This window comes from Homo sapiens, chromosome 17, assembly GCF_000001405.40.
Source record: "Homo sapiens chromosome 17, GRCh38.p14 Primary Assembly".
Classification (NCBI taxonomy): domain Eukaryota; kingdom Metazoa; phylum Chordata; class Mammalia; order Primates; family Hominidae; genus Homo; species Homo sapiens.
Window position 1 is genome coordinate 17,773,915 of NC_000017.11, and position 17,144 is coordinate 17,791,058.

Below are 17,144 nucleotides of genomic sequence, written 5' to 3' on the forward strand. Positions count from 1 at the left end.
TATTATTTATAATTTGTATATTTATATATAATTTATTTAACTGCATCTATAATCTATAATTTAAAATTACATCAGGTAAGTAATTACTTACCTACTATAGTGCTTCTGCCACTTACAAGCTGTGTGACTTTGGATAAGTGCCCTAACCTCTCTGTGCCTCTGCTGCCTCCTCTATGAGTTAAAATGTGTAGACTGCTTCTCAGAACAGGGCCCAACACATGTCTGGTAGGTGTGGGAATTAGCCCCGAGGATGCTGATGACAAAGCATTTCTGTATCTGTTTTGCTCATGGGTTCTTTGCTCAACCCTGCAAGGTGGGCATTTAATCACTATCCCTATTTTATGGGTGAGGAAGCGGAAGCCCAGCAAGTTGGGGTGACTCACCTGAGGTCACACAGCGAGTCAGCAGTGGGCGTCAGGTACTCGGTGTTCTTTCCAAAGACTCCTGAGGCCCTGGTCTGGAAAAAGCCAGCTCTGGACCAGGCCGGAACACAGGGGCCTTTCTGAACCTTCCTTTCAGGGGCCTGGGGCCGCAGGGGCCTCCGGCCCGTCAGCCAAGTCTTTTCCTCCCAACATGCCAGCCAGGGAACACAGACAGCCGGACCCCGCTCTGGCCACTGCCCCGCCAGGCCCCTGTGCCAGGACAGCGTGTCCGCCCACCCGGGCAGTGACCAGCTGTTCCTGAGGCTGTGGGCTGGAGCCAGGTTTCTGTCACTTCAAGGAGCTCCTGTCTTCCCGGCCGCACCTCCACAGCCAGCAAGGACCAGTCAGGGATTTTCCTGAACTTTCCCTCTGTTATAAAAGAGTATATAAACATTTACCTTTTAAAAGTAACAGCTAACTTAGTTGCGCCCTCCTCTGCCCAGCATTGGTCTGGCAGCTGCATGTACGTTGTCTCCTGGCATCTGCGCACCATCGTCTGAGGTGCATAATCTTGTGCCTGTTTGCAGATGAGGAAACTGAGGCACAGGGAACTTGAGTTGCCTGCCCAAGCCCCCACAGCAAGGCAGTGTCTGGGTGGGGATTTGGACCTAGACAGGGAGCCTCCCTACCAATCAGGCCTTCAGGGCAGAGTCTTGGGGCCCAGAAAAGCCCAGCCCAGCTTCTGGTTTTAAATTTTATAACGTGTTCCTTTGTTCAGATGATTGAAGGAAAGCATATTGCAGGTAGAAATAGAATGAAAACATTGTAACACATGAAACCAGGAGTGCCTTTGTGTGCAGCTGACCCTTGAACAATGTGGGGGTTAGGGACGCTGACCCCCACACAGCTGAAAATTCATGTGTAATTTTTTTTTTTTTTTTTTTTGAGACAGGGTCTTGCTCTATTGCCTGAGTTGGAGTGCGGTGGCACAATCTCTGCTCACTGCAGCCTGGACCTCCCAGGCTCAGGTGATCCTCCCAGCTCAGCCTCCCAAGTAGCTGAGACTACAGGCATGCATCACCATGCCCAGCTAATTTTTGTATTTTTAGTAGAAATGGGGTCTCATCATGTCACCCAGGCTAGTCACAAACTCCTGGGCTCATGCAGTCTGCCCGCCTCCACCTCCCAAAGTGCTGGAATTATAGGTGTGAGCCACCATGCCTGGCCTCATGTGTAACTTTCGACTCCCCAGTCAATTAACACACATTTTGCATGTTATATGTATTATTTACTGTAGTCTTACAATACAGTAAACTAAAGAAAAGAAAATGTTATTAAAATCCTAAGGAGGAGACAATCGAATCTATTTACTAGTCATGAAGTAAAAGCGGATCATCGTGAAGGTCTTCATCCTCGCCGTCTTTGTATTGAGTAGACTGGGGCCAGGAGAAAGGGAGGGTCTTGCTGTCTCGGGTGGTGGAGGGGGAGGCAGGAGAGGCAGGCACACTCGGTGTAACCTTTTGAAAAAACTATCTTGGGATCTTGGCTCAGTTATTCCGATGCTGAGTATGCTAATCACATCTAATTTTCATTGATTCTGAGAAAAACATCCACATATAAGTAGACTGTGTTGTTCAAGGGTCAGTCATACCTGGCCCTGGCAGCAGCAGGTCCCCACACAGCTTAGCGCTTGAGCCAGTCCTGGCTGCTGCGTCCCCCAAAGCTGTGTACCCACTGAGGAGGACGCAGCCTGTACAGGAATTCAGGTTTGGTTCTCCTTCCCCTCTTGGGGGCTGTTTCCTCATCCGTAAAATGGGAGGCTGATCCCTATCTTGCGCATTGCAGGACGCAGGGGAGCTGACTCCTCTTGGCAGCTGGGTCTTGTCCCATCCTACTGAGGGGGAAACTGAGGTCAACCCACCAGCCTAGAGTCAAACAGCTGGAAAGTGGCAGTGCCAGATTTGAGCCTGAAACCAGGTTATTTTTTCAGTCACCTTGCCTAGCCATTCATAGAAGTTTTTAAATCTTTTAGGAGTTATCACATGCTCATGGTAGAAAAATTCAAATGCAATTTCCTTTTTATACAAATGTTTTGTACACACTTTTTTTTTTGAGACAAAGTCTCACTCTGTTGCCCAGGCTGGAGTCCAGTGGCGCGATCTCAGCTTACTGCAGCCTCCACCTCCTGAGTTCCAGCGATTCTTGTGCCTCAGCCTCCTGAGTAGCTGGGATTACAGGTGTGTATCACCATGCCCAGTTAATTTTTGTATTTTTATACAGATGGAGTTCCACCATGTTGGCCATCCTGGCCTCAAGTGATCATCCCACCTTGGCCTCCCAAAGTGCTGGGATTATAGGCATGAGCCACCGTGCCTGGCTCACTTTTTTTTTTTTTTTTTTTTTTTTTTTGAGAGAGGGTCTTGCTCTGTCGCCCAGACTGTGCAGTGGTGCAGTCACAGCTCACTGCAGCCTGACTTCATGGGCTCAAGCAATCCTCCTACCTCAGCTTCCCAAGTAGCTGGGACCGCAGGCAAACACCACCTCACCTGCCTAGTTCATTTTTTTTCTTGTAGAGGTAGGATCTCCCCATGTTACCCAGGCTGGTCTCAAACTCCTATGCTCAAGCAATCCTCCTGCCTTAGCCTCCCAAAGTGCTGGCATTACAGTGTGAGCCACTGCACCCGGCCCTGTACACACTTTCTACACTGCACTTTTTTTCACCAACTTGAAGACTGCTCCAATTAATCCATGTGGTGCTTCCATTCTCTGAGTACTCAGCCAATAGAACCTCCCAGATGTATCTCCCTCATCCCCCTTGGATGGACAGCTAGGGGATCCCGTGTTTTGCTGCTGCAAAGGACATTGCAGTTGGTAGCCTTGTGCAGATGACTTCGGGCCCAGGTTAGAGGGCACATGTAATTTGCATTTGGGTCCATATTGCCAGAAAGCTCTCCAAAGAGGTAGTACCATTTTACCCTCCCATCCCCAACTAGATTGGGCACCTCTTTCCCCATGCCCTCACCAGCTAGGCAGATGCTCTGTGCCAAGAAAACCAAACAGCTGCTTCCCTTACAAATACTCAAGGGCCTGGGCATGTGTGGGGGCCTGAGTCCAGCCTGCACCCGTTACCAACTGCAAGATCTCAGGCAATAGGCTTCACCCCGTGGGGCTCAGTTTCCTCATCTGTAAAACAGTGGTGATTGGATTATGGTGAGAAGTTTGTAGATGCAAATGCCTAGGACAGTGCCTGGAACATCGAGGCCCCAGGTCAGAAGTGGCTGTTCTTACGAGTCTGCATGAGTCTTGTACCCCATGACTGCAGTCATGGGGATGGGGGCCCAGCCCCTAGGATGGATGCTCAGGCCTCAGACCTGTGTTTTGGGAAGGGATGAAGGGAAGGGAAGAGCAATGTGGGGAATTACCAAGGGGAAAGGGTGGGATTAGCTTATCCCAGCTTCCCACTGTGCCAGTGGGGAAACTGAGGCCCAGAGGGGCCCAGGCCTTGAAGTGATTGCAAGTTCAGCAGCATGAAACTGCTCTTTATCCGTGCACTGCTGTCAGGAACAAATGCTGAATGGAGAGTCCGGAGGGTTGCCCAGGCCACTGCAGGACCCAAGCTCTGAGACTGAGGGCTTGGGGACACAGAGCCAGAGCCTTGTCCTGAAATCCTGGAGGGTGCTCCTTGGACAGGACAAAACTTGTATTCTCTCTCTGAGCCCAGCCTCAGCAGAACCCAGAGTCTTCCAGGGCTGAGATCTTGCCGTACCAGCTGCGGTCACAGACCTGCCACACTGGCTTGACCTGGGAGTTCCTTACAGCTGCAGAACCCCTGTCCCACCTGACCCGCTGCATCAAAATCTGCGTCTCACCAGGATGTACACTTTAATGTTTGAGGAGCACTGAGACTCAGCCAGGATGATACTCTACCTGCCTGCAGGTACAGGCCGCTGCTCTATGGGCAGACCTCAACCCTCAGCCCCAGAATGTCCTCCCCAGCTCTGTCGCAGACATACGTGGCTCCCTGGGAGGCATAGAAAGTACAAGACTTGGACCTGGCTCCCCATGAACTGGTGGCCCTGGAAGTTGCTACCTTTTATTGAGCCCCTGCCAGCTACCAAGCACATTATCCCATTTCGTCCCACAACAGCACTGAAAGTTTGCTGTTTAATTTAGAGTATCTTGCAGCTTAGGCACACAAAGCACAGAGAGGTTAAGTAAACTGCCCAAGGTCACCCAGCATATACATATGCAGGAGCTGGGATATGAATCCAGAGCTGACCCCGGCACCAGAGTCTAGCCATTTACAATCAGAGTGGGCATGGGGGCAGATGGTGGCTCCTCTCACCCCTGAAACCGGAGCCCCAGCCCCTATGAGCCCTCACAGTTCATTGGTCTGGCTGTGGTGAATCTGACCTCTCAAAAGCCTCCCTTTCCGGAGCAGAGGCCTGCGATTCTCCATGCTGGAGAGCCCGCCAAGAGGGATTCTCCTACAACTTTCCAGAACACAGCAGTTCTGGGGCCAGGCCAAGCTAGCTATGTACAGCTGGAAGAGGCTCTCTCCCCCAGATGCTGAGTGACTAGAAGCCAAGAGGGAGGGAGTTCTGGAATGGTCTGCAGCAGCTGGAGGTGAGGCCTGAGGGGGCTGGGGCGGGGCCTGGGAAGAGGGGCCAGTGCACAGAGTATTCTGAACCGCAGAAAGTATTCTGTTCACTCTGGGAGAAAAACAAGAGTGTTGTTCAAAACAGCTGGACGCCAGGCCCAGTTGCCCTCGCCTGGTTTTTACTCTTAAACACCTTCGCATTTCATGGCTGTTCCAAAGAGAGAGAAATCAGCCAGTTGTCCATTCAGACACAAGACAAGGCATCAGCCGACAACCAAAGGCAAATATTTTCCGTGGTGAGGAAAGCCTCCCGGGTGGCCCCAGGCCTGCCTCTGGAGCAGTGGCTGGCTGGTGGCTGGCTCTCCCCGAAGGTCGCTGCTTCTGGTCAGCAGACTGCGTGTCTGGGGGACTGGCCAGGATCCGCACCCACCCAGGGAGCGCTGGGGGCAGCGGGGCGGCCATCCTAGGCCCGTAGTAAATGGAAGCTCCCTTCCTGGCATGAGAGCAGCCAGGCCTCCAGGGAGGCCAGGACAGCGTGGGCCCCACAGTTCCCTGTCTTGAAACCCCAGCCCTTGATATCAAAATGGGACCTGTTAGTCTGTTGTCGGGGAGGGGGATTTAACTGCCCAAAGCTCTTAGGCCCTGAGTGAATTTTTTTCAGCACAACAGTAGCTACACACAGTTGAAGAGTGTGGCACATGGCTACATAGGGTTTGTATTTGGTCTACAGATGAAGGAACAAGACCCATGTGGACTTAGGCCTCATTATCATAATTCTGCAGCCCCAGGAGCCAAATCCCCACATGGAAACCCTTAGTAGGTAGCCTGGCCAAGTGGGTAGCGGGAAATCAGTGATGGTAGGCCCTGGGACTTCTCTCTAGTCCCCTCCCCACCCTTTTTTTTTTTTTTTTTTTTTAATAGACGGAGTCTCGCCCTTGCCCAGGCTGGAGTGCAGTGGCGCGATCTTGGCTCACTGCAGGCTCCGCCCCCCGGGGTTCACGCCATTCTCCTGCCTCAGCCTCCTGCATAGCTGGGACTGCAGGCACCCGCCACCTCGCCCGGCTAATTTTTTGTATTTTTAGTAGAGACGGGGTTTCACCGTGTTAGCCAGGATGGTCTCGATCTCCTGACCTCATGATCCGCCTGCCTCGGCCTCCCAAAGTGCTCGGATTACAGGAGTGAGCCACTCCACCCAGGCTTTTTTTTAAGACAAGAGTTTTACTCTTGTCCCCAGGCTGGAGTGCAATGGCGCAATCTTGGCTCACTGCAACCTCCGCCTCCCAGGTTCAAGCAATTCTCATGCCTCAGCCTCCCGAGTAGCTGGAATTACAGGCGCATGCTACCATGTCAAGTTAATTTTTATATTTTTAGTAGAGACGGGGTTTCAACATGTTTGCCAGGCTGGTCTCAAACTCCTGACTTCAAGTGATCCACCCACCTTGGCCTCCCAAAGTGCTAGGATTACAGGCGTGAGGCATCGCACCCGGCCACCCACCCTTTTTTTCTCCCAAGAAAACCAGTTTTCTGAAATTTTCAGGGGGAACCAGGACCTCCTCGCCCATGTCTTTCACCCCTGGGTGCCTGTATCCTGTATTCACCAAAGCCCCACGGGCATCTCCCCGATTGAGGTCCCACCCCTCAGGGCCTAGGACAGGGGGACCAGGGAGGGCCCCCAGAGGCTGGAGTTTGGAATACCCCCTTCTCTTCTCTGGAGCTCAGTTTGCATGTCTGTGAAATGACAGGTGATGTCACCTCCCAGAAGGGCAGTTTGAGAGAAGTAAAATCTATTGAGGCACCTTGGACACAGGAGGGGGTCAGACGGCATCAGCCTTTGAGGGTGCTGCAGTTACACGGCTCCAGCAGTCTGAGCCTTATCAAGACCTTTCCAGATATGAGGGAAGTCCATGCCCAGTGTCTAGCTGGCTGGGGGAGAAGCCCCTTGAGAACCCCCACTCTGTAATGCTAGGCTCTGCATTTGCTTAGGAGGCTGTGTCCCTGTCTCTCCCCTTCTGGGCCAGCCTTGCTTTCTGGGCAGGCCCAGGAGTGTCCCGGGCCCAGCACTCAGAGTCAGCGCTGTCTTTAATCTGTATTCCACAGGCATCCTCACCCCCTCCCCTCCCAGGAGCTAGGAACCTGCCAGGCTTCTTACCTCTCTGCTGGAATCTCCACCCCCCACCAGAGGCTGCCCTCTTGGGGAAGGGGCCCAGCCCTTGAGGCCTGTCTCCTCCAGACTAGCTAAACCACAGAGAGAACTCCATCTCAGGTTCCCAAATAGGCGGTATTCTTCCCCGCCACCAAGCTAGGCAGCTCCTGGCGGCTGGAATGCCCTGCTCCTTTCTCAGCCCACCACTTCCTCCAACCTTCCGTCCTCTGTGCTGCAGCAGGGAGTCTTACCCCACCTCCTTCAGGAGGGAGGTGCTCACGGGTTCCTATGCCTGTGGGTCTCCAGGATTGGGCACGGAGCAGTCTGCAAAATGTCAAGTGAGGGAGAGATCCAGTCAAAGCCCCAGGGGGGCCTCTGAGCTCAGTCAGCTCCTCTGCTGCTCCCCACCTCTTGGGGGAAGGACAGGCTGGGGTTTGCATGGGTGGCCTTTTGGAGAGCAGAGTAATGGGAGCCTACTTGAACTTCCTGCGGCCTCATTCCCTGACTGGGGGCGGAGGGTAGTCTGAGCTGCTGGCCTGGGGTGCTTGGCCGCAGGGGAAGGGGCTGGGAGGGAGGGGTCTGGGTGAGTCTAAGGGAGGGTGAGCCTGAAAAGGGGACGGCAGCACTAAACTGCCTTCGGGGAGTCCCCACTGTGCGCCCCTGGCACTTTCCCAGTCCCCTGGCGCGGTCGCAGGCACGGGTGGGGTCTGCCTCAAAGTTGTTGGTACGGCCAGCCCGCTGCTGTTTAAATGGTGTGTTTGTTTAGAGCGGCTTAGGGAGGGAACTGGAAATGGGGGGCGGGGGCAGCGCCCCACTTGGCGCCACCGCTGCCGGAGGGTCTGCGTGTTAGAAGCCCCAGCTTCGTAAATGACCGAAGAAGGGTGGGCGTTGAGGAGGGAAGGCCGAAAACCAACGGAGGGCTCGGGGCCCCGGGCCGGCCGCCCCCTTTTTGCGGGGGGAGAGCAGGAGCCGCCTCTCGCAGCCACTCTGCGCGCGGGGTGGGAGGGAGAGAGGGAGGCGAAGGGACGACAGCGCCGGGCTCCCCGCCCCCATCCCACCCGGTTCCAATATTTCGCAGAAAGGCACGCGGCTCCTAATCGGTCTTTTCCAGGCTGAGATTTAGCCGTGCGATGCCCGCGCAGGGGCGGGGGCCGCGGGCCAGGGGAGGCGCTCAGAGTCCGGAGCCGCCGAGCGAGGTGAGGAGCCCGCGTCCTCGGCTGGTGGAGCGGGCGGGCGGGCGCGCAAACCCGAGAGGCAGATATAGAAAGGGGGGCAGGTTAAAAATAACCCTCTCCGGCTGGGAAGCTCGCGCGCGCTCTCTCGCCTCGTTCGGTGCCAGAGGACTCCAGGGGAGGTGGCGTTGGGGAGGGCAGAGCGGGATTCCCCCTCCTCCGCCGGGCGGGGTGCCCGCCTGCGCGCCGCGGTTGCACGTGTGCGGGGCCGCGCGCCCGGGCCCCCTCTGCACCCGGTCGGTGGGTGCCCCCTCCCCAGGACCGGGCGCATCTGGCAGTGGCCCCCCGCCCGCAGCCTTGCGCGGCTGGAGGGAAGCGCTCCATTATTCATTATTTACGAGCGTTAATAGGTTTGAGCCACGGGGGCGGGGGGTTGGGGGGGCGACGAGGACCCAGTGGGGACCGAAGCATTAGAAGAAGGGATAGGGAGGGAGGGGGAAGGGCGGGGGCGGGGCTGTGCCGCGGCCTGGAGGAAGAGGTCTCGGCCTGGGGCCCGGCGAGCCGGGCGCACCTCTCCGTCAGGTTTCTCCACACCGCCGGCCGTCGAGGCTGCTCAGGGCGCCAAGAGGGCAGCACGGGCCTTAGATTTTGCTCTCGGCCTCTGTCCTTCGCGTCCTCGCCCTTACCGAGGCGTGGGGAGGGAGCTGCGGAGGCCGTACGCCCCGCCCTGCGCGCCCCTTGCCGCCGCCGCGTCCCCGCGGCAGCCCCGGCCTCATTTATCATCATCTTTGGTCAAGTGGAGTGTGCAAGGAACAGCTGCTTCACTCGGCTGACTTCGAGGGCGGCTACGGGAGAATCAGGGAGATGAATGATGGGGGCTGGTGGCAGCCCCCCGCGGTCCCCGCGCAGGCGAGAGGGAGGCGGGGACGTCCAGGGCCGCCTCCGCCTCATGGCGAGTGCAGCGCCCCCTTCCTCTCTCCTGGCGCCTGCAGCGACCGGGGACCGGGGGACCGGGGCACCGAGGACCGGGCCCGCCCCGGGAGGGGACTGGGCGCGGGGACGGGGGGGCGCCCTTCGCCGGCGGAGAACTGGCGGGCGCGCTGCCGGCAGAGCCCGAGGTTGCCGTGACCTTGCTGGGGTCAGCGGGCTGGGCTGCGGAGGCGGCGGCGCGGCGTCTTTGGTGCGCTTTCCGGATTGGCGCAGAGGCCGGGAAACAAGGCGGGGGCGGGCGGGGGAACACAAATAGAAGGTGAAATTTTACCTGCCCCTGAGGGAGTCCTGCGGATTTTCTCCGGCAGCAGCAGGCGCTCTGCCTTTGTCTTACACGGCTGAAACATCTGTTGCAGAGGGGCGGAGAGGCCGCAACAACCCCCACACACCCTGCGCTGCTCCCCGTCCCCCTCTGCCCCAGCCGGGCTGCAGGACTCCAGGCGCCGCGTTAACCCTGCTCGCGCTGGGGCGCGCGCCCGCACTCGCTGCCGCAGTCCAGCGCCTCGCGTGGGGCTCCTCGCCCCCGCCCCGGATCTGGTCCTGGCCGGGGCGCCCGGTGACCCCCCTCCACCTCGATGGGGTGCTGAGGTGTAGGCGGGGGGCGGGGGCGGAAAGGGTTAATGGCCTAGTCGCAGACCCTAATTGTCAGAGCCGGCCCCGCTTCGTTTCAATTACCCTAAGTAGAGACTGAATGCGCAATTAACGAAGTCAGCTTGCCAACTGGAAAGCCGGCCCCGCTTTCACGTTGAGCAGAATACTCCACCAGCTGACTTGGACGAAGCAATTTCCTCCTCTCTCTCTCCCCTTTTTTCTCTCCTTCTCTCTTCCAATCCCCCTCCCTCTTTTTCTCTCTCCTTAATAATAAAATTATACCAAGCAGTTTGCGGTGTGGCAGGCGGCCAGAAAAGCGTTTCTTTAAACGCCGCCGTCTCACAATTAGGCAGCAAGAGGATTTGACACGCCGTGGCGGCCTGACAGGCGGCTTCCTCCCCTGGGGACTGGGGGGAGGGAGGGGGTGCCAATTCCCCGCTCCCCCAGGTGGAACGGGGACTGGGAGGGGCTGGCCTGCTGTGCCTCCCCGGCTGTCAGAATGGCTGCAGCGAGGGGGTGTCAAAGGCAGGGAAGCGAGGGGCGGTTCCGCCTAGGCTGGGGAAGGCGGAAGGCAGCGGCACATTCCACGACTCCTCTGGGAAGCTGGCGTATCCAGGAGGGAGACCTTGTTCCCCTTTCTGTTTGACAGACAGGCACTCTGGGGCATAGAGCTGTAGACGGATCTCAGCCCTGCTGGGCGTCCTGCACAAGCCACTGGCCCACTCTGGGCTTCTTCCATTAATCCCTCGGCAAAATGAGGGGGAGATTTGACCTAGAATGTGCTCTGCAAAAAGTGTCTTCCCGTGGCTCGTTGCCCTTAACAGCTGGTCTTGTAGGCCAGGAGAGGGGGGGTGTAGGCAGCACCACGTAGAAGCAAGCCGGAGACCCCTATGCCGTTTGGGTGGCAGACCCATGGGCCTCAAGGCACACAGGAGGGTGGCTCGGCGGGGAGCCATGATGCAGGCAGCTAATAGATGGGGTGACTTTGCAGGATTGCCAGGGATTGGTGCCATGAGGACAGAGGATACTGAACACTAGCTGCAGCAGCCGGGCCACTTGAGCTCGGGGAAGGCCCAGAGAATTTGGCAGAGGTGGGAGGTAACTGCAGGGGTCCCCATTTGCTCTTTGCAGCCCCCCAGTCCCACCCAGGCTGCTGCTTACATGGGGTGCCTTCATCCTTCCCCACATAGTTAAGCCCTTCTTCCAGCCTTCCCTGATCACCTCCTCTCCCCACCCCCATGGGCCCCTGGGTGTCACTACATCTCAACACCACCAGGGCAGTTGTATGTGTGTCTGCCTGCCTCTGGAGAGCAAGGGCCATGTGCTGTTTCCTGTGTGTCTCCGGCACCCAGCTCGGCCCACATCCAGACTGTAAGCTGAGCAGAAATGTGCTCCACAGGTGAACCAGTGCAGGCACTAGGGGCTCTGGAGGAGACAGCACACACTTTGTCTCTCCTTCCTGATTGGCTGTTGCATGCATCCTGGCCTCCAGGCCCCTCATCCTCAAACCTGTCTCTGGGTATCATCCCTTTGGTCTGTGTTGGGGGTTAAATGCACTCAACACAGAACCCAGCACCCCAATCCATCTCATCTGTTTATTTATCCAAGTAATACTGAAGGGACATCGACTCTGGGGCCAGTTTCTGGGTTTGGAGCTTAGGGTCAAACAGAGGAAGTCTCTGCCCTCCTCAGGCTACGTTCTAGTGAGGGAGGCACATGTGAAACAGCTCATTGTACCATCAATTATGTAATTACCGCTGCCATGAGAGCCACCAAGGAGCCTGGCGGGGGACCCAGGAGAGTTGGGGTGGCGCCTCGCCCGGTGTCTGGTGTGGAATGCCACAGAGGTTCTCACCGCCTCTGGAAGCCTCCAGCCTTTCCAGTCCCCCTCCTCTCTGCACCTCCTTTCCAAGGCCGCTGAGTGCACCTCCTGCACGGGTCTGCCCTGCCTCCCCCCTGAGCCCAGGGCACTCGCCTTTCTGCTCTCCTGCGTTGCTCTGCTTATCTGTGCTGGTCCCAGAGCTTCTGCTGGGCCCGTGAGCACTGTTCCTCCTGCTCTGGGTGCCATCGAGCCCATGCAGATCCCCTTTGCATCGGTTCTGTCAGCATTTGACCCCAGGAGCTTGTGATCAAATTCAGGCCACAGACAGTGTCTCTTGAATTCTCAAGTATGAAAGAAAAAACTTTGTACTTGGTTGATAATATTTTCTTAAATGAGAGCTGTCCCTTTTTGTAAAATCCTGATTTCTGTCTTTTTCAAGGGAAAAGCTCAGAAGCTTTGGCACCCTGGCCTCCCACTCCCAAGTGGCCGCAGTCCGCTGGTGCTGAGAGGGGCTGCTGCTGCCCCTCCCCCCCCACTTTATTTGGGAGCAGGATCGCCAGTTTGTCTCCATACCCACCTGCCCACTTCCCTGCCAGGCCTCGGGAAGATGTTCTTTGTCAAATGAAGCAAAGCAGTGGCCACCCCTGATCTCCCGCTGCCTGGCCCACCCACATGTGCTCTGTGTCGCCACTCCACTGCTCTTTCTGGATATTTTCACAGAGTTACTGTGACATTTTGTGCATTATTGATTCAGTAAATATTTATTGTTCTGGACAATGGGGAGTAGCTGTGAACAAAACAGGCAGAAATCCTTGCTCTCATGGAACTTTTGTTCTAAAGAGGAGACCAATAATAAAGCAAGTCAAGTTTGATTACAACAAGGTCAGTCGTGGGGGTGCAAGGGGTGCTGTTTCAAACAGTGGTCAGGGAAGGCTTATTGAGAAGGTGACAGAGGTGACAGAGGAGCCAAGACTTGGAGCCAGGGTAGAAGCTGTGTAGTTATCTGGGAGTGGTATTTCCAGAGGTAAAAGGCTTGCCCAAGGTCACACAGTCAGCCAGCAGTCAGACAAACCTGCAGACACTTGACACCTCTGTGTTTCCACTTCCCCAGGGAAGTAAGTCATGGACCCTCTGGGCATGTGGGGTAGGGAGGACAAGGCTGGGGCCAGACAGTCCTGTGCCTTCCCTTAGCAGCCAGGCCAGGAGTGGTGGCTCACGCCTGTAATCCCAGCACTTTGGGAGGCTGAGGTGGGCGGATCACCTGAGGTCGGGAGCTCGAGACCAGCCTGACCAATATGGAGAAACCCTGTCTCTACTAAAAATACAAAATTAGCTGGGCGTTGTGGCACATGCCTGTAATCCCAGCTACCCGGGAGGCGGAGGTTGTGGTGAGCCCAGATCGCGCCATTACACTCTAGCCTAGGCAACAGGAGGGAAACTCTGTCTCAAAAAAACAAACAAACAAACAAAAAAACTAGCAGTCACACCTAGCCTATCTCATCCTTATCATGCAGCCTCCTACAAGGGCAGGCACTCCTGGGGCTTGGGGTGGGGAGAATGGAGCTGGCTGGGAGCACCTCTGTGGGTCCCATCTGACCCCTGTGCCAGGGTCTGGGCCAGCCCCTTGGTCTTGCTAGGCCCAGGACTGATTGTGTCTGATGGCATCAGCCTGGCCTCGTGGGGGAAGGACAGGGGCTGTGTCCCCCAGCAGGACCCAGACAACTGCCTGGGCCACCAGACCCTTGCCCTGTTAACTGTCTGCGACCCAGCAATCAGCACCCCCCACCCTTTTTCCCTTTTCTTCATTTTGACAGAGACACAGAGAGGTGGTGACGCTTTTTGTTCAGTGGTGAATAAAGTGATCTAAAAAAAAAATTATTGTCCACAAGAGACTGATCAGTACAGAACTGATAATAGGTGAGCTCCTCCCGGCAGCCTTCCCTGGGGGGCCTAGGAATGCCTGCAGCTGCTGTGGAATCCCATGTTGCTCCCCCACACCTCACAGTGGAGGTGGGACTGCTGGCCATCTGCCCCTCGTCCCTGGACTGTGGGCCCTGCGGCCCAGGTCTCCCGGCCTCTTGATAGCTGTATCCCAGGAATCGGCACCAAGGATCGGTGGGGTGGGAGTGGAGAGCAGGGCACAGCTTTAGAGTTAGGGGACCTGGGCACCTAGGCAGGGGGCCTGGCTGTGCCCATGAACAGCAGGTGGGGCCAGGCCAGCGGGTGGGCGTGGTTAGGCCCTGCAGGGATCCCATTCAGCTGGCTTAGCAGGTCTCAGCTGTCCCCACAGCTGGGTCCCTGGAGGAGATGGTGTTGGGGGCTGTGAGGGGAGGCTCCTCAAACATCTGGAGAGTCCAGATACCTCTGCACTCTGAAGGGCCCAGAGCCCCCAGCCACACCAGGGCTCCCCCAACCTCAACTGAGCCTGGCTAGGGCTGCCCTTCTGCTTCTCACCCCATCACTGGCATCCTGATATTTGGGACCCCCAGACCCTATAGAGAGGGTATGTTGGTCACCCCGTGGGATTCTTCCTTGAGCATGGGGGGGCCATGAATGAGGAGGGATGCATATCCAAGCGTTGCCCACAGGGAGTGGTCTGGAGGGGCTGCCTGGTCCTCTGGGGTTCCTGATGTCCTAGGAGGGTCCTCCATCTGCCCGAAGCAGGCCTCTCAGCCCGTGGACCCTAACCTGTCCCAGAAGCCTATGGGCACCCAACCTCTTGTCTTGTGGGCTCCTTGGAAACTCGCCCCCTTCCTCCCATTCAAGCCAGGCCCCTAGGATATGGAATTGAGCCCATACGATAGCAGTGAATCTGGCGAACGATTTCTCATTTTCACCAAGTCTCCTGTATTGATTATTCATCACCCACAACAGATGGGGAGGCCTGAGGAGTTCCACCTTCTCCACCCCTGCCTGGACTCCTCCTCTGCCCTGTCCTCAGCTTCTGGAGCCCTGGTACACTGCTCCTTCATTCTCAGGTTCCCAGGCCTTGAGTGGGTTGGGTTTTTAAATTTTTTTCTTGCAGCTACAAATCATGAAAACAGGTCATAAAACCACCTTGGGTAAGTAGGTGGGATGGAACCAGTGGCCTCAGAGCTGCTGCTGGGGATCAGGAAGCCCCCAGTCCGTTTCTTTCTCCCTCTCTCCCTGCCTCCCCTCAGCCTCCCTCTCTCCCTTTCTCTTAGGAAAAAATTCCAGCCACCACCTCCCAGCTGGGCTCCCTCAGGAGCCACAGCAGCTCTGGCCTACACTGTGCCCATTTCGCTGACTGGGGCCTCAAGCCTGGGGTCTGAGGAGGCTTTAGGCCTAGTGACCTCTCCCTGAGGCTGCCCAGGGGACAGTAGTTGCCTTGGTGACAGTGGGTGGCTGGTGACCATCACTGCCCATTAGTGGACCCACCCGAGGTGGGTCTGGCTGCTTAAAGATGAGGACAGAATAAAAAAGTGAGGACCCTGGCCTGAGGCTCAGGCTGTCACAGGCTGCAGCTCAGCCCCTTGCCCCACAGCAGCTTTGGCTTGCATCCTGCTCCAAGAGACTGTTCCTCCAAAGTGGGAGCCCCTCACGGGGGCTCAGGACAGGGGTGTCCACCCGTGGTCCAGTCACTGCCGCTGCTGCTGAGGGCGTCCTGCATAGGAGCTTCCCTGCGGGTGGGCTCTGCTCTGGGGTCCTAAGCAGGGCACTTGTCCTGAACCTCACTTTTTTCTGTAAAGGGGGAGGAGAGATTAATCAAACCGTTGTTCAAGAAAGCCGCACAGAGTAGGTGTTCTGCAGCCGCCTTGCTCCCGCCTCAGCAGTCCTATAGATTTCTGGAGGGAAAGGGCTGAGGTCTTTGCCTAAAAGAAGGGCTGTGCCCCAGGTGTGTGCCACACTGCCGAAGGCCTGTGAGAGCCGCTGGCCTTGCACCGTAGGGTAGCTGGGGTTTCGTTGTGCCCCCACTATGTTCATGGCTTGGAGTGAGGACACCCATTGCTGTGTCAAGGGGAATCCTGATGCCCTGGGTGCTATGTGATTCCAGCTCATGCTCCCTGCTGTGCCTGGCCTGCCTCCTCTGTCCAGCGCTGAGAAGACTAAGTTCCAGGATCTGATTCTAAGGGTGAAGTGTTCATGTATCTGGTGCTTAGAGGATGCACTAGACTCCGCTCCTCCTGCCTTCTAGTTTCAGCAAGAACTTTGGAGATAAGGCCTGGACCAAGTGTCTGAGAGGAGAGGCAGGTTGGGGAGAAACGGATGGATGGGAATGAGTGGGGACCGTCCGGGCAGTGTGGTTGAGCTGGACCATGAGGAGTGAGCCCAGTGGGTGGGGGGTGCCCTCCCTTGTCCCCTCTCACCACCCCTTCTCCCTCCAGCCCAAGCCACAGGCCAAACCCACAATCTGCCTGCTAGGCCACTTCTTCCCTGCCCCCAGGTTCAAAGGTCACCATCGTTCTGCCGGGGCCAGGGAGGGGGGTGCTCTTTCTGCCCCCTCCTCTCCTGAGGCCTGCCCAGCCCAACCCAACCCAGCCCAGCCCTGCTGCCTGCCTCGCCTTCTGTGTCCTGTCCTAGTGCTCTTGAAAAGTAATCATAATCATAATAATTAATAACAACAGAGCCCATAGCAGGCCTGAGGCAGCCCTTAAAGAGGCAGTGCCCCCTTTTCTCCCAGCAGAGCTGGCAGTGGGACCTGGCTGGCACTGAGAGGCGGCCTGTGCCTTTGTTCCCATCCCTCCCTTTGCCTTGGGTTCCAGGGTGGTGTTGGGGCGAGCATTTTTGCCTGCATTCTCCATCAGCACTGGGCTTCTCGTGTTTTAATTGAACTGTCTTTTCTTAGCAATAGATGCTTTCACCGCATCCAGCTGCTCGTGTGTATTGGGAAACCTGCCTGTAATACAGCTCGGCTAAATTAAAAGACACAGCAGCTGGACCAATTAAACAGGGAGGGAGGAATGCAGACGGACAGGCAGGGAGGGGGTACTGGTAATAGCACCCCCTCACTGTCTCTGTCTCTCTTTAAATAATGTTTCTGGTAATGCATTTTGGAGAATGTGAAAAAAAATAAAAAATAAAGCCGTAGAAATGTTAATGATATCCACAGGACACTCAGCAGGAAATGAGAGTGATCTGGGACTAATAAAAGCCGAAATGTAATTTGTGCAGATATACGAGGCGCAGCCTTCAGAGTGGTCCTGGGTTTGCACATTCTGGGCTCATAAACATGCGCCTGGGGAGGGCAGGGAGCGGGCGCTGTGCCCTCGGCCTGGGCACAGGCCCGCCTGGGCTGCCCTGTGGCAGTCTGGCCAGGGCAGGAGCGTGAGGCTGCCCACCTGGCAGGGAGCTGCCAGACCAGAACCAAGTGCCGTCCCCAGCTCCTCTGGGTTGGCGCGTCGCAGCAGGAACCTCCTGTAATGTTTTATCCAAGCTGCCAGGGGTAGGATTGAAGTGGGTCAGAAGGGTGGGCACGCTGCTTGTTAGGGATGCCTGCGACAAA

At 56.6% G+C, this 17,144-nt stretch overlaps 1 protein-coding gene and 2 long non-coding RNA genes across 10 annotated transcripts in view, besides 11 other annotated features; 1 reads left to right on the forward strand and 2 right to left on the reverse strand.

Annotated features, from left to right (window-relative positions):
• Positions 1-17,144, forward strand: part of RAI1 (retinoic acid induced 1) — a 129,996-nt gene that overhangs the window by 92,457 nt on the left and 20,395 nt on the right. Inside the window, exon 1 of one of the 8 annotated variants that reach the window (XM_017024028.3) lies at positions 8,162-8,301. The exons of the other annotated variants lie outside the window; for them this stretch is intronic. The gene's annotated coding sequence lies outside the window, so the exon portion shown is untranslated. Of the gene's footprint in view, positions 1-8,161; positions 8,302-17,144 lie in introns of those variants that run through there. 8 annotated transcript variants of the gene reach the window in all.
• On the reverse strand, positions 1,629-9,630 carry LOC124903942 (uncharacterized). Its single transcript, XR_007065649.1, has 2 exons — positions 9,539-9,630; positions 1,629-2,256 (listed from the first exon to the last, which is right to left on the reverse strand). It is a non-coding gene; the product is annotated as an uncharacterized LOC124903942 (long non-coding RNA).
• SMCR5 (Smith-Magenis syndrome chromosome region, candidate 5) lies at positions 2,772-5,615 on the reverse strand. Its single transcript, NR_024007.1, has one exon. It is a non-coding gene; the product is annotated as a Smith-Magenis syndrome chromosome region, candidate 5 (long non-coding RNA).
• Positions 4,842-5,731: an enhancer, noted in NCBI's record as "H3K27ac-H3K4me1 hESC enhancer chr17:17682070-17682959 (GRCh37/hg19 assembly coordinates)". NCBI's record gives its function as "activates a minimal SCP1, AML or CMV promoter by ChIP-STARR-seq in naive H9 embryonic stem cells {active_cell/tissue: H9 hESC(naive)}" and the evidence as "EXISTENCE:reporter gene assay evidence [ECO:0000049][PMID:30033119]".
• Positions 6,621-7,510: an enhancer, noted in NCBI's record as "H3K4me1 hESC enhancer chr17:17683849-17684738 (GRCh37/hg19 assembly coordinates)". NCBI's record gives its function as "activates a minimal SCP1, AML or CMV promoter by ChIP-STARR-seq in naive H9 embryonic stem cells {active_cell/tissue: H9 hESC(naive)}" and the evidence as "EXISTENCE:reporter gene assay evidence [ECO:0000049][PMID:30033119]".
• Positions 8,646-9,146: an enhancer, noted in NCBI's record as "H3K27ac hESC enhancer chr17:17685874-17686374 (GRCh37/hg19 assembly coordinates)". NCBI's record gives its function as "activates a minimal SCP1, AML or CMV promoter by ChIP-STARR-seq in naive H9 embryonic stem cells {active_cell/tissue: H9 hESC(naive)}" and the evidence as "EXISTENCE:reporter gene assay evidence [ECO:0000049][PMID:30033119]".
• Positions 8,818-9,067: a silencer, noted in NCBI's record as "silent region_8253". NCBI's record gives its function as "represses an Ori minimal core promoter by ATAC-STARR-seq in GM12878 lymphoblastoid cells {active_cell/tissue: GM12878}" and the evidence as "EXISTENCE:reporter gene assay evidence [ECO:0000049][PMID:35858748]".
• Positions 9,188-9,387: a silencer, noted in NCBI's record as "silent region_8254". NCBI's record gives its function as "represses an Ori minimal core promoter by ATAC-STARR-seq in GM12878 lymphoblastoid cells {active_cell/tissue: GM12878}" and the evidence as "EXISTENCE:reporter gene assay evidence [ECO:0000049][PMID:35858748]".
• Positions 9,718-9,987: a silencer, noted in NCBI's record as "silent region_8255". NCBI's record gives its function as "represses an Ori minimal core promoter by ATAC-STARR-seq in GM12878 lymphoblastoid cells {active_cell/tissue: GM12878}" and the evidence as "EXISTENCE:reporter gene assay evidence [ECO:0000049][PMID:35858748]".
• Positions 10,112-10,652: an enhancer, noted in NCBI's record as "H3K4me1 hESC enhancer chr17:17687340-17687880 (GRCh37/hg19 assembly coordinates)". NCBI's record gives its function as "activates a minimal SCP1, AML or CMV promoter by ChIP-STARR-seq in primed H9 embryonic stem cells {active_cell/tissue: H9 hESC(primed)}" and the evidence as "EXISTENCE:reporter gene assay evidence [ECO:0000049][PMID:30033119]".
• Positions 10,653-11,191: an enhancer, noted in NCBI's record as "H3K4me1 hESC enhancer chr17:17687881-17688419 (GRCh37/hg19 assembly coordinates)". NCBI's record gives its function as "activates a minimal SCP1, AML or CMV promoter by ChIP-STARR-seq in naive H9 embryonic stem cells {active_cell/tissue: H9 hESC(naive)}" and the evidence as "EXISTENCE:reporter gene assay evidence [ECO:0000049][PMID:30033119]".
• Positions 10,653-11,295: a biological region, named in NCBI's record as "Sharpr-MPRA regulatory region 10806".
• Positions 11,001-11,295: an enhancer, noted in NCBI's record as "tiled region #10806; K562 Activating non-DNase unmatched - State 8:EnhW". NCBI's record gives its function as "activates a minimal TATA promoter and a strong SV40 promoter by Sharpr-MPRA in K562 cells {active_cell/tissue: K562}" and the evidence as "EXISTENCE:reporter gene assay evidence [ECO:0000049][PMID:27701403]".
• Positions 16,013-16,219: a silencer, noted in NCBI's record as "fragment chr17:17693241-17693447 (GRCh37/hg19 assembly coordinates)". NCBI's record gives its function as "represses an EF-1alpha promoter that drives an FKBP-Casp9 reporter gene in an ReSE screen in HepG2 liver carcinoma cells {active_cell/tissue: HepG2}" and the evidence as "EXISTENCE:reporter gene assay evidence [ECO:0000049][PMID:32094911]".